General features: G+C 34.8%; 1 protein-coding gene across 12 annotated transcripts in view; it reads right to left on the reverse strand.

Annotated features, from left to right (window-relative positions):
- Positions 1-27,466, reverse strand: part of MAGI2 (membrane associated guanylate kinase, WW and PDZ domain containing 2) — a 1,436,613-nt gene that overhangs the window by 1,160,657 nt on the left and 248,490 nt on the right. The gene's annotated exons all lie outside the window — the stretch shown is intronic.

The following is a 27,466-nucleotide window of genomic DNA, read 5'->3' on the forward strand; positions in this document are numbered from 1 at the left end:
CTTTACATATGCTAACCATTTAGTCTTCCCAAATATTATAAGGTGTCTGATTTTGTAGAGCCTACAATTTTGTTGAAAATAGTATTACTCGATGTTCCATCATCATTTCTCTGTTACCACAAATTGCTATCTTAAGGCATAAGAAAGGTCAGCCACGTTTTGTAATGCTTGCTATTTCACAGCGTGTATGCGGTTTTACTCCTATTCAGGTTATCAGTACTTCAAGCTTATCTATAGCATCTTGTCTTTTAAGCACTGTGTTAAGACTACTTCTCAAGATATAATCAACTACTGAATGTAGTTTCTCTAAATATTAGCCAGGCTTCCATCTATCATATCTTCAAAGTAGTGGTTATATCTTTATGAAAATAAGATCCTAAAAGTCCTACACTGTGGTCCTTCATTATTTCTACTAAATAAATTTCTACTAATTCTCTCTTTCTTGTCGCTGTACTTCCCTTATTTTGTACTGGCTACAAGAAGACTTACTTGGTTCATCTTTATGGGATGAAATTATACTTAATTAGATGTAATAATAAGAAAATCATTATTAGTGAAAACAGCAGATACGTTCTAGCACTGATGGTATGGAATTACAGTCTGTGAAAAAGTTAGCTATAACAGAATAAAAAGCCACATAGTTATGATAGATATTCGATAGATATGTCCCTATGAAAGAGTGGAAAATAGGTTTATATAAATGTAAACATATTAATATTAAGAATCATATTTATTCACACCTGTAATCCCAGCACTTTGGGAGGCCGAGATGTGTGGATCAACTGAGGTCAGGAGTTCGAGACCAGCCTGACCAATATGGTGAAACCCCGCCTCTACTGAAAATACAAAAATTAGCCAGGCATGGTGGCATGCAACTGTAGTCCCAGCTACTCAGGAGGCTGAGACAGGAGAATTGCCTGAACCTGGGAGGCGGAGGTTGCAGTGAGCCGAGATCACGCCACTGCACTCCAGACTGGGCAACAGAGTGAGACTCCATTTCAAAAAAAAAAAACTATCATCTTTATAAAGGAGTTTCAGTATTATGTAAAGGGCATCAAATTAATTTTTTTTGTTAAACTTTATATCTAAAAGCATTAACATCATTGGCTATTTCTGCAAATAATTTTCAAAAGAATATAGCAAAAGTTTGCCATAAGTTCTGCTCAACACAAGATAAATCATTGTCTTTTTTATTATACTACTAATCCAGCATGTCTACATAGTATGAGAGCAATAAGTTTTGCAAAAATTGAAGATTTAGTAAATTATTAATTAAACAAATAATTTTAAAGCCTATTATGTGCTAGGTACGATTTTTGTCACTAGAGTTACCTCAGCAAACATCATAAACAACAATCCTCACCATCATGGTATAGTCATCTGATGCATAGTAACATTTCAGTAAAAAATGCACCACATATATATATTACAGTGTTAATAATTTAGTTTAAATATTGTGATATTTTAATCTTTCAAATCTTTTTTCTGAAAACACCTATTTTTTCCTTCAGTTGTTAAAAATTGTGAAAATTTATGTTCAGCAAAATTCACTATTTTCATATAAACAATTCTATATACTCTGTTGAACATATAGTCATGTAATGACCACCACAATTTCAAGATGTAGAATGATTACTACCCAAAGCAATCAACAGATTCAATGAAATGTCTATCAAAATAATGTGTCACTTTTCACAGAAATAGAAAAAACAATCATACAATTCATGTGGAATCAAGAAAGAATCCAAAATGACAAAGCATTCTTGAACAAAAAGAATAAAGTTGGAGGTATAATATAACTTGAATTCAAAATATATTATAAGGTCACTGTAATAAAACAGCATGGTATTTCTATAAAAATAGATATATGGACCAATGGAACAGAATAGAGAACCCAGGAATAAATCTACATATTGATAGCCAACTGATCTTTGGTAAAGCTGTCAAGAACACACATGAGGGAAAGGATACCTTGTTCAATAAACAGTGCTATAATAACTAGACAGTTATATGCAGAAGAATGAAACTAGATTCTTGTCTGTGACCATATACAACAATCAACTCAAGGCGGATTAAAAACTTGAATGTAAGATACAAAACTATAAGACAACTGGAAAAAAATCAGTGAAATGCATCAGGATATTGCTCTAGGCAACTATTTTATGGTTAAGACAGAAAAGCGCAGGCAACAAAAAGAAAAATAGACAAACGGGACTCTGTCAAACTAAAAAGCTTCTGCACAGCAAAAAGAAACAATGAACAGAGTGAAGAAGCAACCTGTTGAATGGAAGAAAATATTTCCAAACTATTCATCTAATAGGGGAGTAAAATCCTGAATATACAGGAAACTCAACAGATGAAAGACAAATAGCCCCATTAAAAAGTGAGCAAAGAACACGAATTGATATCTTTCAAAAGAGACATATAAATGAGCAACAGGTATATGAAGAACACACAACATCATTAATCATCGGGGAAATGCAAATCAAAACTGAGATATCATCTTGCCCCATTTAGAATAGCTATTATTAAAAAGACAAAAAATAACAGATGTTGTTGAGAGTATTAGTCTGTTTTCATGCTGCTGTAAAGACATACTCAAGACTAGGCAATTTACAAAAGAAAGAGATTTATTGGACTTAAAGTTCTACATGGCTGGGGAGGCCTCACAATCATGGCCGAAGGCAAGGAGGAACAGGTCACATCTTATGTGGATGGCAGCAGGCAAAAAGAGAGCCTGCGCAAAGAAACTCCCTTTTCTAAAATCATCAGCTCCCATGAGACTTATTCACCATCATGAGAACACAACAGAAAAGACCTGCCCCCATGATTCAACCACTTCCCACTGGTTCCATCCCACAACATGTGGGAATTCAAGAGATTTGGGCAGGGACAGAGCCAAACCACATAATTCTGCCCCAGCGCCTCCCAAATCTCATGTCCTCACATTTCAAAAGCAATCATGCCTTCCCAACAGTCCCCCAAAGTCCTAACTCATTTCAGCATAAACTCAAAAGTCCATAGTCCAAAGTCTTATCTGAGAAAAGGCAAGTCCTGTTCACCTATAAGCCTGTAAAATCAGAAGTGAGTTAGTTACTTCCTAGATACAAAGGGGGTACAGGCATTGGGTAAATATGCCAATTTGGAGAAATTGATCAAAACAAAAGGGGTACAGGCCCCACGCAAGTCCAAAATCTAGCAGGGCTGTCAAATCTTTAAGCTCTAAAATGATCTCCTTTGACTTCATGTCTCACATCCAGGTCATGCTGATGTAAGAGGTGAGTTCTCATGGTCTTGGGCAGCTCCACCTCTATGGCTTTGCAGGGTACAGTCTCCCTCCAAGCTGCTTTCATGGTCTGGCATTGAGTATCTGCAGCTTTTCCAGGCACACGGTGTAAGCTGTCAGATCTACCATTCTGGAATCTGGAGAACAGTGGCCCTCTTCTCACAACTCCACTAGGCAGTGCCCCAGTAGAGACTCTGTGTGGGGGCTCTGACCCCACATTTCCCTTCTGCATTGCCCTAGAAGAGGGTCTCCATGAGGGCCCTGCCACTGCAGCAAACTTCTGCCTGGGCATCCAAGCATTTCCATACATCCTCTGAAATCTAGGTGAAGGTTCCCAAACCTCAGTTCTTGACTTCTGTGCACCCACAGGCTCAACACCATGTGGAAGCTACCAAGACTTGGGGCTTGTATCATCCAAAACTGCAGCCCAAGCTCTATCTTGACCCCTGTTAGTCACAGCTAGAGCAGCTGGGACACAGAGCATCAAGTCCCTAGACTGTACACAGCAGAGAAACCCTGGGCCCGGCCCACAAAACTATTTTTTCCCCCTAAACCTCCGGGCCTGTGATGGGAGGGGCTGCTGCAAAGGTCTCTGACATGGCCTGGAGACATTTTTCCCATTGTCTTAGTGATTAACATTCAGCTTCTCATTACTTATGCAAATTTCTGTAGCCAGCTTGAATTTCTCTTCAGAAAATGGGATTTTCTTTTCTGTTGCATTGTCAGGCTGCAAATTTTCCAAACTTTATGTCCTGTTTCTCTTTTAAAACTGAATGCCTTTAACAGCACCCAAGTCATCTCTTGAATGCTCTGCTGCTTAGAAATGTCTTCTGCCAGATATCCTAAATCATCTCTCTCAAGTTTGATGTTCCACAAATCTCTAGGACAGGGGCACAATGCCATCAGTCTCTTTGCTAAAGCATAACAAGAGTCACCTTTGCTCCAGTTTTCAACAAGTTCCTCATCTCCATCTGAGACCACCTCAGCCTGGATTTCATTGTCCATATTATTATCAGCATTTTGGTCAAAGCCATTCAAGAAGTCTCGAGGGAGCTCTAAACTGTCCCACATTTTCCTGTCTTCTTCTGAGCCCTCCAAACTGTTCCAATCTCTGCCTGTTACCCAGTTTCAAAGTTGCTTCCATGTTTTTGGGTTTCTTTTCAGCAGTACCCCACTCTACTGTTACCAATTTACCATATTAGTCCATTGTCATGCTGCTGATAAAGACATTCCTGAGACTGGGCAATTTACAAAAGAAAGAGGTTTATTGGATTAACAGTTCCACATAATTGGGGAGGCCTCACAATCATGGAAGAAGGCAAGGAGGAGCAAGTCACATCTTATGTGGATGGCAGCAGGAAAAAAGAGAGCCTGTACAGAGAAACTTCCCTTTTTAAAACCATCAGATCTTGCAAGACTTATTCACCATCATGAGAACACTGCAGGAAAGTCCTGTCCCCATGATTCAACCACCTCCCACGGGGTACCTCCCACAACATGTGGGAATTCAAGATGAAATTTGAGTGGGAACACAGCCAAACCACATCAGTGAGCATGACAGAAAATTGGACTCTTATACACTATTAGTGGAAATGCAAACTAATATAGCATTATGAAAAATAGTATGAAGATTTCTCAAAGAACTAAAAATAGAAGTACCATACAATCTAGCAATCCCACTAAGAGTACGTCCAAAGAAAAAGAAACTAATATATCAAATAGATACCCAAACTCCCATGTTTATTGCAACACTACTCACAATAGTAAAGATATAAAATCAATATCAATTTAAATGTCCATCAACACTTGAATGGATAAAGATAAATGGATAAAGAAAATGTGGTATATATGCAATGGTATAGTATTTGGCCATAAAATGAATGAAATCATGTCATTTGCAGCAACATGGATGAAAACTGGAGGTTACGAGAAATAAGCCATGCATAGAAAGACAAATATTGCATTTTCTCATTCCCATATGTGAGAGCTAAAAAAGTTGATCACATGGAGGTAGAGTAAAATAATAGATACCAGAAGCTGAGAAAGGTGTATGGGAGGCAGAAGGGGATAAACAGAGGTTGGTTAATGGGTACAAACATGCAGTTAGATAGAAGAAATAAGTTCTAATGTTTGATAGCAGAGTAGGGTGACTGTAGATACAACCATATATTGTATATTTCAAAATAGCTAGAAGAGAGGTCTTGAAATGTATCCAACATATAAAAATAATAAATACTTAGGTGATGGAGTATTACAAATTACTCTGACTTGATAATTATATATATTATGTATGCAACGAAATTTCTCATGGACCCCATAAACATATGTAAAAATATAAAAAATACATTTAAATAAAATTTTAAAAGATATAAAACAGTATCATCATCCAAAAAATTTCCCTTATACCATTTTGTCAAAATAGCTCTGCAAATATATTGCCCACCTTTTTAGAAAATGGGAGTTTAAAAAAATTGTTTTCTTATTACTGACTTTAGAGAAATTTTTCAATATTCTAGGTATCAATCCTTTATTAGATATATATTCCACAAATATTTTTTCCCAGTCTGCAGCTAGATCTTTTATTTTCTAAAGAATTCCCAATATTCATTTGAAGAACCTGCCCATTATTATTTTTTAATTATGCAAAAGTATTGAAATGACTACGTCAAAGAGATATCTGTACTCTCATGTTTCTTGCAGCACTAGTCACAGTCAATTCCAAGAGACGGAATCAACTTAAGTGTCCATCAGTAGATAAATAGATAAAGAAAATGTGAATATATACGCAAGGAAATAGTATTCAGCCTTTAAAAACAGGTAATTCTGTCATTTGTGACAACATGAATGAAATTGGAGTGTATTACATTAAGTAAAATAAAGTCAGGCACAGAAAGACAAATACTGCATGATCTTATTTGTATACAGAATTTTTTAAAGTTGACTTTATAGAAGTAGAGAGTAGAATGATGGGTACCAGAGTATGGGGGGAGATGAGAGTGGGGGAAAGCAGAGAAGTTGATCGAACAATACAGAGTTCCAGTTAGAAAGGAGGAAATAAATTTCAAGATCTATTGCACAGCAAGGTAACCATTGTCAATATTAATGTATTGTGTATTTCAAAATTGCTAAAAGAATAGATTCTTAAGGGTTTCACTACAAAAAATGATAAAAATGTGAAGTAATGGTATGTTAATTAGCTTGATATAATTATTCTATAATGTACACATATATTAAAACATCACATTGTATCCCCAAAATATATATATAATTATTATTGGTCAATTAAAAATAAACATTATACTATACCCAATGTGTAGTCACTGCACAGGTGATAGGTGCACCAATATCTCAGAAATCACCATTAAAGAACTTATTCATGTAACCAAACACACCTGTTTCCCAAAAACGTATTGAAATTAAAAATAAAAATAAGAAACAATAAAAATAAAATAACATAAAAAATCAAAATATTAAAATATTAAAGTTAAAATAAAAAACAAACTAAAATATTGGATTCAATTGTTTTACTATGTTCACTCTATAGCAGTAGAATATTATTAAAGAGTAATAGGAGAAAAAAAGGCATAAATGTAGATATTTCTAACATGGGATACAACTTTGCATAGGAGAAAAGCAGAAGGAAAGCTGACTCTTTCTAAGCTATTAGAAAAGTTCCTCGTAAAGCAGTTATAAAAACAGTAGGTTACTAATATTTGCAAACTTAAATGCAATTGAAATGAGCATTAACTGCAATTCTGATTCTATCAAAGTTTTGTAATATTCTCATTGCTGTTTAAGTTTTGGATAACTTTTTTCTTTTCTTTTGAGTCTTTAAAAAAATAAAAAATAAAGCTTGATGTGACATAATAAATAAAGGTGCAATTCATAACCTCCTTTCCTCACACTATAAAAAAACAAAAAAACAGGAAAATATGGCAACACAATTAATGGCACCAATCAATGAAGGAAAGGGCCATGATCAAGTGACAAAATTTAATAGCCTGGGGGATAAGGAAAGAATGAGGTGATTCCATAGAAGAGCTCAACACAGCTGGGTTCCTAAGCCTACTTTGAACCCCAAATCTGGAGACAAGTACTCTGAGTGGATACTATTGTATTTTTCCTTTTCAGAGAAGAGAACTTTAGAAATTGATGCTGAGAGAAATGATTAAATTGTGAATAATGAGTTTGACAATTTCAGAAAGAAAAGGATCTGAAGGAAAAATAATCCAAACTCCATTGGTATCTTTCTAGGGAAATGAAATGCGTATCTCCAAATGAATAGAATAAACCCTGATAAAGGGCCCATAACAATAACAAAGAAAAACCGCATCTCTATTATGAAAAATTTCAAACATGTTTTTCAAAAAGAGAGACTAGTTTAATGAGCTGCCATGCTCTTATCACTCAAACTTAACAATCATCAACAACAGTTGCCAAATTTGTTCCATCTATACTGCCACAAGCTCCAGCTTTCTTTTAATTTGGAGCATGTGGCAGTTGGTTACCAATTTGGTCATTTTTTTTTTTTTTTTTTTGTAGTCAATGGCATGTCTATTACATAGCAGGTATTCAATGGCGTTTGCTAAATGAATGAATTAATCAATGAATGCATCAACCTCCATTCAGCCATTTCCCAGAAAATGAGTCTGCCTTTAAAAATGATGAATGTTATACATGATGAATATAACAGGTAAATATATGCAAAGAACAACATCGTGTTGAAACATGCTCAAGGACAGGCATTTCAAAGATGATTCAGGCTAACATTATGGATTCTTCTTAAATGAGAAAGAAAATCCTGCTGATGGATGTCTTCCTAAGCCAGTTGGGACTAAGAAACACAGTTGAAGCTCATCCGTGACAGAACTAAAATGATCAGGCCTAAGGTCATAGCAACAACTTGTTGCTGACACATCAGCAACTTGTACAGACATCAGCCTGTACCTTAAAACAATGCACTTATATGAACTTAAAATATGCTTTTGTAAAACTGTCAGATCTAAATTGATGTAATTTAACATTTTTTTGATAGTGAATTTTATGTCTTACAGAGCCAGTGCTAAAAAATGTGCATAGACACATATATACACATGTGTAGACATACAAAGACCAACATAAATGCATAGGATTACACCATTTTTACCATTTGTTTCCCAAATACTCTAGAGGCCAGCCCTATTTGCCTGGGAAAATATATATATATATATATATATATATATATATATATATATATATATATATATTTATATTTATTTATTTATAAACTACATACATTTAAACTATATATATAAAGTTTAATGAGCGACCATGCACTTATCACTCAGTCTTTTAAATATTGATCATTGTAGAGATCAAAGTAGCTGATAGTAGATCTGAATTGTTTTTACTTGAAAGAAAATAGAAAACATCTCAATTTTGCTAACAATCTTACAGGATTTATGGTTGAAATTATGTCACATCAAATTTATAAAAACAAAAACAATTGTGCAAGTAGATTTGCATGGTTGTGTTTCACAGATATACACACATACTTTGTCATTTTGTTTATTCCTAAGAAGGACTGTTTGGGATTGCCACTCCAATGGAAGAAAAATAAGAATTGAGATACAGGAGACCTAAATGTATATACTTTCGTATAAGTGCATATATATAATATAAACAAAGGACGTTTACATTTTATACGAGTATATATATTTATACAAAAGTATATATATATATTTATACAAAAGTATATATATATTTATACAAAAGTATATATATATATATATATATATATACACACACACAAAAGTATATATATATATAAACATAGGATACCAGAATCCCTAAAATGTCAATTGAAACGACTTAATATATCACCTGGATATTCAGTTTATATCACATTAAACACCTAAATATTTTGAAATATGATGCTCTTGAGGGCACTATTGCTATTATTAAAAAGAACTCAGACTATATTTGCTTTAAGGAAGCAGTAATTTTTTTCTGATACAAATGCTAATATTTGGAAGCGATTACAATTCAAATGAAACTTAAGTATTTGGGGGCAACTTAAGAATTTGGGGGAAATTCTAAGTGACTACTTGTGGGAAATTAGTAGCATCCACAGAGAAAATATTTTAACAGAGATGATTTGAAAATCTGCCTTTTTTGATTTTCAATATAATGAATAAAACATTATGATGACTTTAAAATGTATATAATTTAGTTTGAAATTTTAATACAAGAAGTATTATTTTAATTCTCATAATTAAATTTAACCTTATAATTCTATTTCAATAAAGCAAAAGTTATAGAGCATTTTATGTTTCTTCAAAAAGTAGTCAGTTGATGGTGATTTCTACTTCTATGATAAAACTATCTCAGGTAGAACGATTAAGAAATCTGACCAATCTGTACAAGGAAAAACATTACCAATTTTAGTATAATTCTTAGCTTAGTCCTTACCCTCAGTCCATCTACCTATTTCACTAAGCAATGAATCACCAAGGAACTTCATCATATGTACATAGAATTCAGAGAAATGTCTCTAATTTTCAACAATAACTATTTTCTCAGCAACAATTTACTGGATGTAGATACAGTCTTTTAAGTATTGATCATTCCAGAGGTCAAAGTAGCTGATAGTAGATCTGAATTGTTTTTACTTGAAAGAAAATAGAAAACATCTCAATTTTACTAAAAATTTTACGGATTTATGGTTGAAATTATGTCACACCAAATTTATAAAAACAAAAACAATTGTGCAAGTAGATTTGCATGGTTGTGTTTCACAGATAAACACACATATTTTGTCATTTTACTTATTCCTAAGAAGGACTGTTTGGGATTGCCACTCCAATGGAAGAAAATTAAGAATTGAGATACAGGAGACCTAAATTTTTAGAAAACATAAAGTTATGCAAAAAAAATTGTATGTTTATGTCTCATGAATATACACATGCAGAAATACAATAATATTTTAGGCATTTCCACTAAAAGGTTTATTTGGAGTTTGCCTCTGTTCAGTGAAAGAGAACTGTGGATTGAGTGCACAAGACATTAGTTGTTGTCTCAGCCTTCCATGTAATTCAGTTTGGGAAAATTCTCTTTACCATATTAAGCATCCAATTTTATTTTATTTTATTTTTAGTTCTGGGGTACATACGCAGGATGTGCAGGTTTGTTACCTAGGTAAACATGTGCCATGGTGGTTTGCTGCACCTATCAACCCATCACCTAGGTATTAAGCCCAGCATGCATTAGCTAATTTTCCTGGTGCTCTCCCTACCCTTTCCACCCCGCCTCCCCCAACAGACCCTAGTGTTGTTGCTCTTTACCCTGTGTCCATGTGTTCTCATTGTTCAGCTCCCACTTATAAGTGAGAACATGTGGTGTTTGGTTTTCTGTTCCTGAGTTAGTTTGCTGAGGATAATGGTTTCCAGCTCCATCCATGTCCCTGCAAAGGATATGATCTCATTCCTTTTTATGGCTGCATAGTATTCCATGGTGTATATGTACCACATTTTCCTTATCCAGTCTATCATTGATGGGCATTTGGTTGATTCCAGGTCTTTGCTGTTGTGAACAGTGCTGCAATGAACATATGCATAAGCACCCAATTCTTGATTTGTTAAATAATGGGGATATATATAATAAACAATCACTGAGGTCACTTTCAAAGCTAAAAAGCGCTAATATTGTATGTAGTTGGAATTATCACCTTTCTTTTTATAAAGGGTTTATATATTTTAAAATTTATGTAAGCAATGAATTAACATTAAATGAAAAATGTAAATGAAATATGAATAAAAGGGAAAAATAATAAGTCACAGATATTCTACTGTCCTGTCACAGCCATTACTAGTATTTGGTCTTCCAGACATTTCCATATGCGTGTATATTATTTAAAACAGTATCAGGCTCTCTAACTTACTTTTCTTCCTAAATACAATATAACCAATGCCTTTCCATGTTATTAGTATAAATGTCCACAATTATAAATATTTTATGTGTATGCACAAAATACATTTAATCAATTCCCTCTTTTGGACTTTTAAATTTTGTTGTTGTTTTTAAACAAACTGTGGTAACACTGTACATATATCTTTACTAATTTATCTATCTCCTTGATATAAGTGCACAGATTTGTGATCATTAGGTCAAAGGCTAGATATTTCTTTTTAGTAATTTGATACATTTTGACAAATTACCACACAGAAGCCCTGTTCTCATAGGGAGTTCTACAGGCTATGTACCAGAGGGTTTATTGTCTCCAAACCAAGACAATCCTAGGAGCCTCATTCCTGTTAATGTTTGCCATTTTTATAGGCAAAAAAAAAAAAAAAAAAAAATGGCACCCTTCTTTAACTTGAATGTTTATTTCTTTGATTATGGATGGGAATAAATCTGTGTCTACATCTTTTGACTCACTTTACCTATTAAAAGTAAATTTTCTGGATGTGATACCCTATTTTTAAAAAATTGATAGACTTTATTTTTTAGAGTAGTTTATGTTTTCAAAAAAATTAAGCGGAACGTACAGTTTCCATTTACCCCTTCTATTCCCCTCCTTCCCCCAGCTTCCCTATTAACAACTTGCAATATGTTATATTTGTTATAATTGATGAACCAATATTGATACCTTATCATTTACTAAAGTCCATAGTTTACATTAGGGTTCAAGCTATATATTGTATAGCTCTACGGATTTTGACAAATGTATGACAATTGTCTTCCATTACAGTTTCACACAGAGTAGTTTCACTGCCCTAAAAATCCTCTGTGCTCTGCCTATTCATCCCTTCTTCCCTCCCACCCCTGACAACCATGGATCTTTTTACTGTCTCCAGAGTTTTCTCTTTTCCAGAATGTCCTATAGTTGGAATCATAAAGTATGCAATCTTTTCAGATTTTCTTCTTTTACTTAGTAATATGCACTTAAGGTCCCTCCCTGTCTTTTTATGGCTTAATTATTTATTTCTTTTTCAAGCTGAATAATACTCCATTGTATGAATATACCACAGTTTGTTCATATATTCTACCTATTGAAGGACATTTTGGTGGCTTTAAATTTTTTTTGTCATTATGAATAAAGCTTATATAAACATTTGTGCACAGTTTTTTTGTGGACATAAATTTTCAACTCATTCTGATTAATACCAAGGAGCATGGTTGTTGGACTGTCTGGTAAGACAATGTTAAGCTTTGTTAGAAACTGCCAAATTATCTTTCCAACTGGTTTTACCATTTTTTATTCCCACCACAGTGGATGAGAATTTCTGTTGCTCCACATCCTCACCAGCAATTGGTGTTGTGTTTTAAGTTTTAGGCATTCTAAAAGGCAAGTGGTGCTATCTCATCATCATATCAACTTGTAATTTCCTAATGACATATGATGTTGAGCATCGTTTCATATGCTTATTTGCCATCTGTATATCTTCTTTGTTGAAGTGTCTGTTCCTATCTTACCCATTTTTAAACTGGTTTATTTGTTTTATTATTGTGAGGTTTTAATAATTTGTTGTATATTTTGGATACCAATTCTTCACCAAATATGGGTTTTGTGAATATTTTCTCCTAGTTTTACTTTTTCATTCTCTTAATTGCCCATTAAAAAGTTAGCAGTATTAATACTTTCTCATACATATTGCAAACACTCTTACAATAAACAAGGCTTTTTGGTTTGGGTATTTGCATGTTCTACCATCTTAAAGTTTCTAATTTATTTGAAGACAAATTGTATCAACCCTTCTACGGTTTCTGCCTTTGGTACCATGCTCTGGGATTCTATACACATTAACATGCTATATTTTAGTATACACTAGTCTAATTTTTTTCTCCCATTTTTAAAAATAAGTTCTTGATTGATATGAAATGATTTTGATGTATACAGGAGATGTTTTATTCTTTAATAGTTATTAGGTAAATCAATGCCATTAAAAATAAGATATAAATTTTCTCTATTGATTGAAAATACCAACGTAATCATACACTATATTTCCACATATATGTGGGCAATGTCTAAACTCTTAATTCTGTTCGACTGCATGTTTTGTTGATTTCAGCATTGCACTACTCTGTTTTGAGTTTTGTAGGATTTTAGTGTATTTTAATTCTGAGTAGGGCAAATTCATCTTCTTTTTTTATATTTTAAAAATATTTTCCTAATTAGTTTGATACTTCTAGTTTTCCACACAGATCTCATATTTATTTTGTTACTTTCCCATGTATATCCCATTTTACTTTTGATTTAGGTTGTGTTAAATTTAGAGAATAATTTGAAAGAGTTTACATATTTTCAATGATTGGATCTTCCTTCACATAGAGATTATGTCTCTCAAATCATGCAAGCTTTGAAAAGTATCTTGCAGCAATTTCATTTCCTGAGCATTTCTTCTTTTTTTCTTTTTCTTTTTCTTTCTTTTTTTTTTTTTTTTTTTTTTTTTTTTTTTTTAGAGATAGGGTCTCACTGTGTCACCTGGGCTGAAATGCAATGGCACAATCACAGCTTATGAAGCCTGTAACTCTTGGGCTCAAGTGATCCTCCTGCCTCAGCCTCCCAAGTAGTTGGAACTACGGGCATGAGCCAAAATGCCTGGCCTGAACATTTCTTTTAAAATAAAATCTCAAATATGTTGTGTTATTCTTGCTACTGTGAATGTGATTTTCCTTACAAAAAGTTTCTACTTTTTAAATTCTTATGTTTTAGGTGGTTACCTATTAGTTCTCATATATGTTTACTTGATTATAATGGTCTTCCATGAATATAATTACATTGCTTTAAAATAATCCATACTCCCCTTTTCTAGTATCTATGCCCTTTTAAAATTTTGCTTATTTATCTTATTTCCTTATTAAATTACCTTTTTTTAAAGCACTTACAGACCAGTGTTAAATGGATTTGGTTGGCATCTCTAACTTCTTTCTGGCTTGAATGGAACTCTTTGGGAATGCATAATTCTGACTATTTGTATCAAATAGAATCTTAAAAAGTATTTTAAATGCATTTTCAGTCCTATGGCTAGTTGAATTTATTGATATCTTTTTGCATGTACATAGAAATATATCTTTGTAACTTTCATCTAATAACATGATAGAATAAGACCTGCACTATCACACTCCCACTTAAATTTGTAACCCCTACACATATCCAGTATTTCCTTTTGCCTTTCCGTGTCCTATTTTTTACCATAGAACTTATCACCATTTGACGTACTTTACCTTTCAGCAAGTTTATTTATTTTTTATCTATTGTCAGTATCCTACAGCTAGAATATAAGTTTCATGAAGTGTAGAATTTTTATCTGTTTTGTTCACTGCTGTATCTCTGCAACTTAAAAAAGTATCTCTAGAATTTAAAACATCTTAGGCATTTAAGAAATACTTTAATAAATAAATATGATGCCACAACCATTTAGAATGGTTAATCAAAAAAGACACAGCCTTTGCCTTTACATAATTTATAATATATTGAGGGTATATATAAAAAAAACTACAAGAAGGGACTGGGATCTACAATTGTAAAGTTTTGGGGATGTGAGAGACTCTCACTTACATAAAGTGGTTAGAAAAGGCTTTTCTGAAATGATCATCTAATCAGTGTGGCAAATATGTGTGAAGACCCTAAGGCAAAGAATTGCTAGATAGAATCTAGGAAAATACAAGAAGGGTGGTGTGGCTGAAGGTTTTTTTGGGGGTGAGGAAGGATGGGGAAGAGTGACTTATTATAAAATAAGAGAGATACAAAGAGGACAAATTGGCTTAATAAGCCACAGTGAAGAGTTTGGATTTTATTCCAACTGAAATGGGTAGGCTTTTAATAGTTTAAATCAGAGGCATAGTCTGATTGATTTATATTTTTACAATCTCACTCTGTCTCTTTGAGAACAATATGTTGGGGGAGAGAGCAAAACAGAGGAAATATCAAGACCAATTAGGAAGCTCTTATAGTAGTCTGGGCAAGTAATACTGATTGCCTGGGATAGAATGAGGGCAGAGTGGGCAGAGAGCCATCACTAGAATTGAAATATGTTTGGGATGTAAAATCTCAAACTCCTTCTCCTCAAGTGATCCTCCCATCTTGGCCCCCACAAAGTGCTGGGATTACAGGTGTGACTCACTGTGTCTGGCCCAGGGTTGTAGAATCCAGATAGGACACACTTTCCATAAGGACCAGAACTTGCTTTGAATGCAGAAAGGCAATGGCTTTCTAAGAAGTAAGAATGACCAAGGAACCTTATCATAGCCTTCCTTATTTATGTTACTTTCATATAGTAGCCAATCGCTTATGCGGACAATGTTGATAGGAAAGGGAAAGATAGGGCAACCCATAGTTTCTTTTCCTTTCAGTTCTTCCTTACTCATCAGTAAGATGAAGCTAAAGATTGTTACAGAATGTCAGGTATTAATATTAAAATATGAAATACAAACAGTTGAATTAACATTGTATAGTATTTCCACTGTTCTAGTAAGAATGAAATACATATGCAGGTACAAACTACATATTATGAGTTGTGTAATTTTAGCCATTCTACATACAAGTTAAATACTCCTGTATTTACATTTAAAACTGGCATTGCACAATGTAAAAATGAATGGTAAAATGCATACTAATAAACTAATAACTTAAGAACTTTATTTAGGACAACATTAAATATCAAATTAAAAATACCATGAAAAGTCAAGAGAGGGACTGTGGAAGAAAGCAAAAAAAAATTATAATTCATTACCTTTAATAGTACTTTCTCCCCCCACCACTTTTTGTACAAGGGCCCTACATTTTCATTTTGCACTGGGAAAATGGCTGCATTTTTTAGAGTTTTTATTACAACAGGCAGAGTCATTCTTGGGCGTTGCAAACCGGTGTCTGTTTCTGGGTACCCCAGGCAAAGAGAGGATATGGGAAGAAGAGGGCTTTGACAAGCCATCAAAAATGAGTCTCCTTTTACTCCTTAATTGATCACATAGAAAATCTTTTTTTGTTTGTTTGTTTGTTTTGTTTGCTTGTTTTCCAATTCCAGCAACTAGTATTTCTACTTAGCACCCTTATCCTGCAAAAGGTCATTTCTTAACTAGTATAGTATTCAGCTGGTTGGAAAATTGAAAGAATCTCCTACGAGTCATTTATTCTTTTCTTACTGACAAGATAGGCCTCAAAAATGTTGAATATCAAAATGTGGAGAAATTATTTTTTAGAGAATTCTGGTTTTACTGATTCATCGAAGATTTATAAGAAAAGCTATAAAGGTATTATCCTTCCATCCTATTAAAGGCCTACTAAAGTGAGACAACACACCTTTTTGTTGTTGTTTCCTTTTGTTTTGTTTTAAAAAGCCTAGTGTTCTACTAGAAAATATTAATTTTGTTACTTTCTAAGTTGTAGGAATTAGTTTTTTCATTTAGTGATTATTCTCACAAGCAATCATAAATGTAACAACTGTTTTAGAACAGAGATGGCCATGCATTTTCATGTATACACAGGGTGTTTTAAAAGATAAAGAGCTAATTCCAATAAAAATAGACTGAATTACATATGTAGGTTGTATTAATTAATTCTGGAATCAAAATTTTCTCTTCTACTATAGATGTTAAATTTCTTTACTACATTGAATCTAGTTAAAAGGTTTTTGTACAATTTACCCTTGTGTGTCACATATATTTAATATTTTATTTCATAATAAAAAAGTAAGCATTTCACAGAGAAAATTGACATCTAGCTTTTTTGATGTCTCAGTGAAATCTTCCCTGAGCTTTAGGGAATGGATGAGAATTTCGTTTCTCTTAGGTCTTCAGTTTGAAGACTACCTTAGAAAAGAAAAAAAAAATGCCGCACACTCTAGATAGCTGTTTGCTATAGTAAAGGTTATGAAAATTAATAGAGAGAATCAAGTTACTTTTACTGGGACATCAATGAGAAATATCATACTAAATTATCAATTCATGCTATTAATAAAATGAAGTTATTATAACATTTTAAGAAAGACATGCCCAAAGTTCATTTAGGAGAAGCTCTTGGGCAATAAGTAATATTGAGTCAAATATTAGAAGGCCATTGAACCTAATGACTTTTTCGATACTTTCTAATTTTATTATTTTATGACTCAATTACCACTTTTTTGTAAAAAGATAAAATTAACAACTGTCATTCTTGACTGACACAAAGAGACGATGTGGTCACCTAGCAATCAAAAACAATGGGGCCAGATGTTCTGCATCAACTAACCACCAACACATTTAAGCAGACATCACTGACTAATGTGGTGTTAATGAAAGCACCTCTTACAAATGAAAATCAGATGTTCACCTATCCCGACATCTGTGATGTTCATCTCATCAACTGAGCTTTTAATGACAATTAACTGTGGTTTTTACACATTGCATACTGCTTCCTAGTCACAAGGTATTAGACCACATTTTGAGAAATCCAGAAAAAATAGAAAAAAGAAAGCATATAAAACCTTATCAATAAAACACTTGTGGTGAAAGTGTGCTAAAAAGGAAAATGCATTTGTATTTTGGAATTAAAAGCCATTTGTAGTTATGTCCACTTTGAAAATGGAAAAGTGATTCAATTACCAACTCAAACTTCAATGAAACCAGCCACTCTTCTCCCTCTCCCATCTCCTGCTGCCTGCTCAACTGCCTTTCTGCCCAGCAATGGAGAGTCACACGCTAATCCTTAAGACCACGGCACTGAGCATTCTCAGTGTTTAATTCTGCGCACTTCTCCTAGGCAAGCTCTCTACAATAGTCATATTAAAGTAATATCTGTCCTCCTTATCCAGCATCAATCTAATACTAAGGATTTTTTTTTTTGAGATTTAATATACAACAACATGGATGAACCTGGAGGACATTATGTCAAGTGAAATAAGCCAGGCACAGAAAGACAAACACTGCATGATCTCACTCATATGTGGAATCTTAAAAAGTTGATCTTGTAGAAGTAGAGAGTAGAATGATGGTTACCAAGGGCTGAAGTGGTTGGGCATCGGGGGTTGAGGAGATATTGGTCAGAGGAATAAGTTGAGAATATCTATTGTACAACATGGTGAATGTAGTTAATTTATTATACTCTTGAAAAATGAAAAAGAGTGGATATAAAGTGTTCTCATCACAAAAATGATAGCTATGTGAGGTAATGAATATGTTAATTAGCTAGAGTTAGTCATTCCACAATGTATATTTTCTTTAAAATAACATGTTGTACATGGTAAATCCATAATTTCATGTCAATTTAAAAATAAATAAAATTTATTCATAGAGTTTAAATGCAAGACATCAGAAAATGAAACTGAAAAAGTTATACAAATATTCTTTTTTTTACTTTAAAACATATTTAGTTAAGTAACATGTACCCACTTTTTGAAAAGCAATCAAATGGCACCTTGCCCCTCTCTGATTTCAATGATTTGAAATGTTTTTAACTTTAGTATTCACCTGCTATATTTCAAAAACATTCTACTCTAATCTTGCTATTTGTTGTTATTTTTAGGCACTATCTAATGACTTTCTCTTATGCAAATTTAACTACTTAATATTATCTTATTTGCTTGCTGATGATTCCTACTTCCCCCTATCTTCTTAGTACAATAGAATAATCATTTTTAGTTAATAATCAATGTTTATATCATGATGACTATTGTTCACTGTAGTGTGTTATCACTGCATTTCCTTTCTTATAAAGCTTTTGCCTTTTCTTTCATTTGTAGAGTTTCCTACTCTTTCATTCTTTCCCCAAAGTTGCATCAGATATGGCATATTCCTATCATAAATTTGTTTGCTTGTTTGTTTGTTTGTATTTTGAGATAGGGTCTCACTCTGTCAGCCAGGCTGGAGTGCAGTGGAATGATCACAGCTTACTGCAGCCTTGATCTCCAAGGCTCAAACAATCCTCCCACCCCAGCCTCCCAAGTAGCTGGGACTACAGGCTCACACCACCATGCCTAGTTAATTTTTGATTTTTTATATATATAGAGAGAGAGAGACTGGGTTTTGCCATGTTGCTCTAGCTAGTCTTGAACTCCTGGACTCAAGCAATCTGCCTGCCTCAGTCTCCCAAAGTGCTGGGATTACAGGTGTGAGCCACTGCACCTGGCCCAGAAGTTTGTTTTTTACATCAAAAGCCCTATCACATCTGATGGATTCATTTCCTTCTTTTTCCTGGAGCCTGTCCTTGTTCTTCCAGATCTAGTGGGTACTTGTCATCTGCTAGGACAGCCATCCTGTTGCCTCCTTACACTTCATTTTGCTGCTTGCCAGAAACGTGATTTTTGACTGACTTACCAATTAAGTGAGTTTGGTATTAATGTCAGGTCTGACTATGCCTGAAATAAAAAACCCGTGAAATGAGACTGTAAAGACCATAAGCTTAAGAAAGTGGGCCAAAGTAATTTCTCATAAAAAGACAGAAGATGTTTAATCACTCAATCACCACCTAGTATAGAACCTCACACTTTGCTCAGAGGAAAATCACAACCAGCGCTTGCTCCAAGTCTAGTTCTGCTCAGCAATGCAAGTTCTCTGAGTTAATTTAACTAACTTGGTCTCTTTCTAAGTAGATATGTTGGTCTACATCTGGCTGGCATGACCTCACTTAAGGTAAACTCTGCAGCCTGAGTTGGAATTTCAGAAAGAGAGCTATCAGTCTGTTTGTTGCTGCTGTAACAAAATACCTTAAATTGGGTAATTTATAAGCAACAGAAATTTATTTCTTACAGTACTGGAGGCTGGGAAGTCCAAGGTGAAGGCTGTACCGACTCCATGTCTGGTAAGGACTCTTTGCTTCAGGGAAGGCACTTTGTTTCTGCATCCTCACATAGCAGAAGTGGTAAAAAGGGATGAACCTGCTCTCTCATGCTCTTTTATAAGGGCACTAATATCATATCACTTCACAAAGACCCCATCTCTTAATATTATTGCATTGTGGATTACATTTCAACATGAATTTTGGAGGGACCCAAACATTAAAACCATAGCAAGAGGGCTGGGGGTGGTGTCTCAATCCTGTAATCCCAGCACTTTGGGAGACCAAGGAGAGAGGATCACTTGAGGCCAGGAGCTTGAGAGCAGCCTGGGCAATATAGTGAGACCCCGATTCTACATAAAAATAAGTTTTAAAAATTAGCTGGGCAAAGTGGTGCATGCTTCTGGTTCCAGCTACTCAGGAAGCTGAGGTTGGAAGATCACTTTAGCTCAGAAAGTTGAGGGTGCAATGTGCCATGATCATGCCACTGCACTCCTGCCTGGGTGACAGAGTGAGACCGTGTTCAAAAACAAACAAACAAACAACAACAACAACAAAAACCACAGCAAGGGCCTTGAAAAGCACATTAGTACAGTGCTGCCATTTGCACAGGTTCCCTCTCCTGTCCTTTTTGATAGGCTCTCAATTTTGCCTCTCAGAGATTTGCACACAAACATGATATGACTGAAAAAAAAAATGCCCTTCAATAGCATTGTTGTTTCCACTGCACTTCTCATTTGCTTGTCACCTTGGCAATGCAGTGGCAGGATACAAGCATCTTAATTACAATACTGATCCTAAGAAATAAGGAAGATAATTGAAAAATTTTAGTCATACTCGCTTTCTTTGCTTATTATCTATTGAATAAAAAGTAAGAGGTAGGCCGGGCGCAGTGGCTCATGCCTGTAATCCCAGCACTTTGGGAGGCCGAAGAGGGAGGATCACCTGTTAGGGGTTTGAGACCAGCCTGGCCAACATGGTGAAACCCTGTCTCTACTGAAAATAAAAAAAATTAGCTGGGTGTGGTAGTGGGTGCCTGTAATACCAGCTATTCGGGAGGCTGAGGCAGGAGAATCGCTTGAACCCAAGAGGCAGATGTTGTAGTGAACAGAGATCGTGCCACTGCACTCTAGGCTGGGTGACAGAATGAGACCCTGTCTCAAAAAATAAATAAATAGTAAGAGGTAAAAGAGATGCAGGACCATTTCATCCCTCAGGATAGGTACAGAGCCTACCAGCTTTCCAAAGACCTACTTTCTGGGAAATATTAAGGAACTGATAGGGGAGAAAAAGTTTATTATCTCTAAACTAAAAAAAAATTAAAATTGAAGTAAACAAATGACAAATTAAACATTACGAAATCCACAAACTATCTAATTTAATGAATTATTTAATAGATTATTACATTGAAATACTAATTTTATTACATGTAAAACATTTTGTAAAGCTTAGATTCTTTTCACTTTCCAACAGCGTCCAAGTATGCATAATGATTCCAACAAGAGTAATAATATTAATGATAGTGGCTGCATTTGGAGGGCAGAAGGTGGCTTTCTAACTTATTTTGAAAAATGTCAAACAAAAAAGTTGAAAGAATAGTCCAATGAATATCTGTACGCTTCCTACTAAGATTATACAATTGCTAAACGTTTAAGAATTGTTAAGTCTTTTTACAAGCTCAGTAATTCTTCATGACTCTCTGAAGTAGTTCTTTTAGCATCCCTAATTTGCAGCGGAGGCATATGAGGCACAGAGAGATTATGCAACTTTTCTTAGTCATACAAAGGCAAATGGTTGGTCTGGGATTCAAAGCTAGAGATTTTCTAAAAGCACGTTTCTTAACCTACGTGCAAAAATCATTCCTGTATTAAATAAAGTAAGTAAAAGTAAATCCTTTATAAATTATTTTACATCGAAATTTTATTTAATATAGGATATAGGTGTATTCTAATGTACTTTATCAGTGAAATCTCTGAATATCATAATGTCTAGAAAGCTTTCTAAAAGCCTCTAGGTGAATAGACAGCAAGGCAGAAGTAGATGTCCTTGGCAGTGCAGCCGGGGGAGAGGTGAGGAAACCAAGCAAGACATGCAAAGATTTTGGACTCATTTCTGCATTTTTTGGGATGGAGTAAGTTTCTTTTTCTCTGGGGTGACTGTGTACATTTCAGGGAGATTTCTATGTTACACAGCCTAGTTTTTCTCCACAATGATGGAAAACTAAGAAATATATCACTAATTCTTAGACTACACAATTAACAACTCTTGTTGCTTAATTGAGAGACATGGACACCGAGATTCCTGATCCAGCCCCAGCTGCAGCCTCTTTCATTTGTGGCTGTCAATTACAGGACTACCAAGAATAATCCACCAATCTCCTGGCATACCAGGAAAATTCCTGGTCTAGATTCAGACAAGTGGTTTATAGTTCCAGCTCTACTTTGAGTTAATCCTGTTTAAATTTCAGTTCTCATATTCTATGATTCATTTGTGGAACATATACTGAGTCATTTTGAAAAGTTTTAGGCCAAGGCTAACTTTCTTACATGCAACAAAAAGTTGCTGGAAAAATACCATGTTGCCTTACAACTGTTTCAAACACTTTCGGCCTGATATCTGTAACCCCAGCACTTAGGGAGGCTGAGGCAGGAGGATCACTTATGCTCAGGAATTTGAGACCAGCCTGGGCAACATGGCGAAACCCCGTCTCTACAAAATTAAAAAAAAAAAAAAAATTAGCCAGATTTGGTGACCCACACCTGTTGTCCCACCTACTTGGGGGGCTGAGGTGGGAGGATGGCTTAAACCCAGGAGGTTGAGGTTGCAGTGAGCCAAGATCATGCCACTGAACTGCAGCCTGGGTGACAGAATGAGACCCCATCTCAAAAAAAAAAAAAAGTTTATATCTATTGATATATCTCATTTCACAATCTTCACAGTCTTGTGAAAGTGTTATCCCCATTGTTCCATTGAGAATATGGTGATACTATGACATCAGGAGTTAAAAAGCCAATTGGTAACAGTGACAAGACTAAAGCCCAAGCCTCTGACTCCCAGCCCTTCCCACTCCAACAGGCAGAATTACTTCTATAGCTTCATTTACCACTACTTTTCCTGAGAAATGTATGTATTTTTCCAGCATTAGCATCAATAGCAGGCAAAATAGAAGGTGACCAATTAGATATAAATTGAGAGGCTGCCATAGGGTTCCTTTGCTCAAGAGTAACACTCCTTACCTATTTTCTGTAGGGCCTAAAATGTCACGAGTACACACATTTGTTAAGGCCCTCGGCAGGGCTTTCGGTCTACAAGATAGTGCAATCAACGTACTCCAAGAGATGGCATATCCTAAGCAGAAATTGGCTCTTTGTCAGGAGAGGGGTGGGAGACAGGTATAATTGCCATGTTTAAACACCTTCTGGAAATGGTTTTAGCAAAAGGTTCTGAGATGGTGAGGAGGGATGACAACCTAAGTTGTCAGTAATGGGAAGAAAATGTGATGATATTGAAGGTAGTGGACCAAAAATAGACTTTGCTTACTTCACAGTTTTGCCTAGGGCCAGTTTTGATTTCTTCCATTAACATAGCATTCACCTTGCCTAACCTTGAAAGTTTATGAGGGTTTTATGTGAATATAAGAAAAACAGAAGTGATCACTTTCAAGGTCACAGACAATAAAGTTTCTCTAACTGTGGTCAGGGTGTGTGCCTCTGATGTCCTTCAATATCAATCTTTCTTTGGAGAAGCATTTTCCAAGTATATTCCATGAATAGTGTTTTTGTTTTGTTTTGTTTTGCTTTTTGTTTGTTTTTTTAATGGAAAAATCTTGGGATCTGTTGACCTGAAATTTTGGGGAGTGCTAGCTAACATATTTAACCCTGAGGATCAACAGTGCACAGCTGCACATTACAAGTTCTAAGAAGTTTGGGTTTGTTAACCCACTGTTTCCTAAATCGTTGTGCTCAGAAAAACTCCCTTTTTAAAATATTAGTATTCTGTGAAGTCCTCTTGGAAAATGAGGTTTTACTATTTGCATAATAAAAATAGAACACTTTAAAATTGTTGTCCATGTTTACCTAACATCTAATAGTTCAAATTATGTTTGGATTTGTTGTAAATTTTTATTTATATGGAATTCAATTTTTGTCTTAGTTAATGCTTTTATTATCTAAGACTCATAGCATACTTTTTATTAATTCTCAAAATTAGGTACAAAAATGGTTAGTCCTCTTTTTATTTCAAATATTTTTATCAATTTCATGATTAAAGACATTAGTTGAATTTGCTTTTGGTGATATGATAACACTACTGGTATTGTATAGAAAATATATTTTAGACCTCAGCAAAACTTTTTTCTCACTCATGTTCTAGACAAAGAGAAATCAAGGAGATAAAGAATTAGTAGATAATGCTAAGTGTAACGCTGTAAATATTGGTCATTATATATAATGATACCAGTATTACCTTTCAGTGGGCAGGGTGGTTAAAAACCTGTTTGCTTCCTTTGTTTTTGTAAAAAGGATTTTGATTATCTACCAAGACTGGAGATGGGTGGTAAGGAAGAGTCACACCCAATATGGCCTTTAAGGTATGGTCAAAGTCACTTAATTGGGAATGAGGAAGCCTGAATTTAATGTTTGGCTTTTCACTAAGTATTTGTATAAACCTGGTTTATACAAACAGCCCTAATAGGGCTGTTATTTTTAGTTCTTATTATTATGTTTATAGTTTTAGCATAAGGTATATAACTGAAAAGGTTTGGGATGTGTTTATTAGTTACTGTGAGTTACGAACTTCATATGACTTAGGATCCACTAACTACCATACTATTAAAGACACATACTATATTGTGCTGTTTCATACATTATTTAATAAAACGTATTTAAAAAACTCATGGGCAAGATACAGGTGAACAAGGAAACGTTTATTTGGGAAAATACAAGTAATGACTGCATAAGCTTAGGAAATTGTAATAATCACTTTCTTCCACAGAATTGGGCTCGCAATATGGTATACATTACTCTTATTCTCATTCCTGTTGTAACCAAGTCTTCTAAAAACCTGTACTACTTATATTTCTTCTTGTGATTTCATCCAGGTTCATATCTTTAGAATCTATAAGCTGATAATTGTCAGTGTGCATTTCCAGCTCTGAGTGCTCCCCTGAGTTCCCCTGACTCAAAAATCCAACCATCTACTTGACATCTTCACTTGCCTTTCTAATAGACATGTAAGGCTTAACATGTCCAAAACATATATCCTGATTATCCACAAAATCCTGGCCCACAAACTTTTTGCCCAACATCTTTCCATTTTAGTACAGAGCACATATAATTTTCCAGAACTTATAATGGATCCTTATTTACTCACTTTTCTTCATCTCCACACACGAAAATTAACACATCTAACTTCTCGATTTCTCATCCTCTCCAGTGATACTAACACTAGTACACACTACCATCATTTCTCCCTTGGGTTTTGGATATAGATTACTCACTGCTAGTTCTGCTTCTTATTTGCATTTATTTAATAATCTTCCAAATAACAAATAGAGTGATCTTTTCTAAACACAAAGTAGGTCATTTTACTCTTTAACTCAAAGTCACCAAGGGCTTCCCACTGTACTTAGAAACAATGTCAAATTATTTTCCATAAAGCCCTATTTCATCTGGTCCTGTCTACCCCTTCAACCTTACCTTTTAATCCTCCTTCCTCTCTAGTGTTCAGAAATGCCAACAAATAACTCAGTTCTGTAGTAACCTCATTAGAGAGGTAGATAATGACAAAGAAAAAAACTCCTTGCAATTTGTTTTTACTATGTTATAGCACCATTGGTGCTTCAGTAACCACTACACAAAAATAATTCTGAACAATTAGGCATTCACTCCTGAAAAAAAATTGTAGAATATTATGTTGTACGTTTATATATATTGACTTGCTCAGTGCTAACATAAAGCAAGGGGACAGAAAAAAAACCAATCCACCAATCAGTAGGCATTTTAAAAATATTTAAGCCGCCACCAACGCACCAATGTAAAATTCACATGCACACAAAATATCTCCAAGTTCTACAACCAGCATCTTAAATTAACTTTGTTTCTTAATGTGCCAAGGAAGGGCAGTGCAAGGCCTCAGGGTAGGACTCTCCAGTGGTCGTCCCCATGCAGAAACATTAATTTGAACAACAATCCATGCACAGAAATACCTTCACAAGAGCTAAGGAAACCAGATCACAGTATTTGGTTGTAGTACAATAATAAGAAAAGGCACATGGAAGAGGGTAAGGATGTCAGTATTACATTACATGTATCACTCCTTTCCCAACCCAAGGTGCCACAGCACAGAGAGAGATACAGTTCACATGGTGGGAAAAGAGATGTGAGTGCAAAACTTTACCTTGGATACTAACATTGGGCCCACCAAAGTAAAACCCAGCACTAGGTACCCATGGCCTCATATTCAAGGCTGATTCTTGCATATTAAGCCTCTGGATCTACCCTGGTGTCAGGAAGGATCACACTGTTCCAGGCTTCAGGCTTGTGTGTAAACTCAAACTATGACCTGCACCATGGGTCAGTGGATGTTAGTGGCCCTGGGCTCAGGACAGCTCTCAACAGCAGGCCGGCCTCAGTGGGCCTGGGCTTCTGGCCTGCGCTAGTGGTGCATTTGCCATAATGAGTGCTAGGCTTCTAGTAGCACTTCACCAGTTGCAGCTGCACCAGGCTTCTGGTGCACCCCAGCACAGCATTTGCACAGGGCTTTCCCAGACATAGTTGCTAAAATAAGTACCACTTTTTCAAGTTGTAGACATCAACACATGACCACAGGGATCAAAAACAATCAGGAAAACATAACATCATCAAATGAACAAAATAAAGTCCCAGTGACTAATCCTAAATAATTGAAGATATATAACCTGCTTGACAAAGAATTCAAAACAAATGTTTTAAGAAAGCTCAGTGAACTTCAAGAAAATACAGAAAAATACTTCAATAAAATAAGGAAAACACTAAGTGACCAGATGAACAATTTAATAGAAAAATTGAAACAATTAAAAAATAAAATAAATAGAAATCCCATAGATTAAAAATACAATGAATGAAATGAAAACTGCAACCGAAATCATCAATAACAGAATTGACGAAGCAGAAGAAAGAATCTGTGAACTCGAAGACAGGTTATTTGAAAATATACAGTAGAGGAGAATAAAAGAAAACAATGTAAAGGAATGAAAAAAGCTTATGGGACTTATGAAACATCATCAAAAGAGCACATTTTTGAGTCACAGGAATTTCAGAAAGTGAAGAGAAAGATCAAGGGTTAGAAAGTTTATTAAAAAAAAAATAGCAAAAAACTTCCCAAACATGGAGAAAGACGCAAATATCCGTGCATTAGGAAGGTCAAAATTCTCACATAATGTCAAATCCACATAAGAATACCCCAAGACATAT

This window comes from Homo sapiens, chromosome 7, assembly GCF_000001405.40.
Source record: "Homo sapiens chromosome 7, GRCh38.p14 Primary Assembly".
Lineage (NCBI taxonomy): Eukaryota > Metazoa > Chordata > Mammalia > Primates > Hominidae > Homo > Homo sapiens.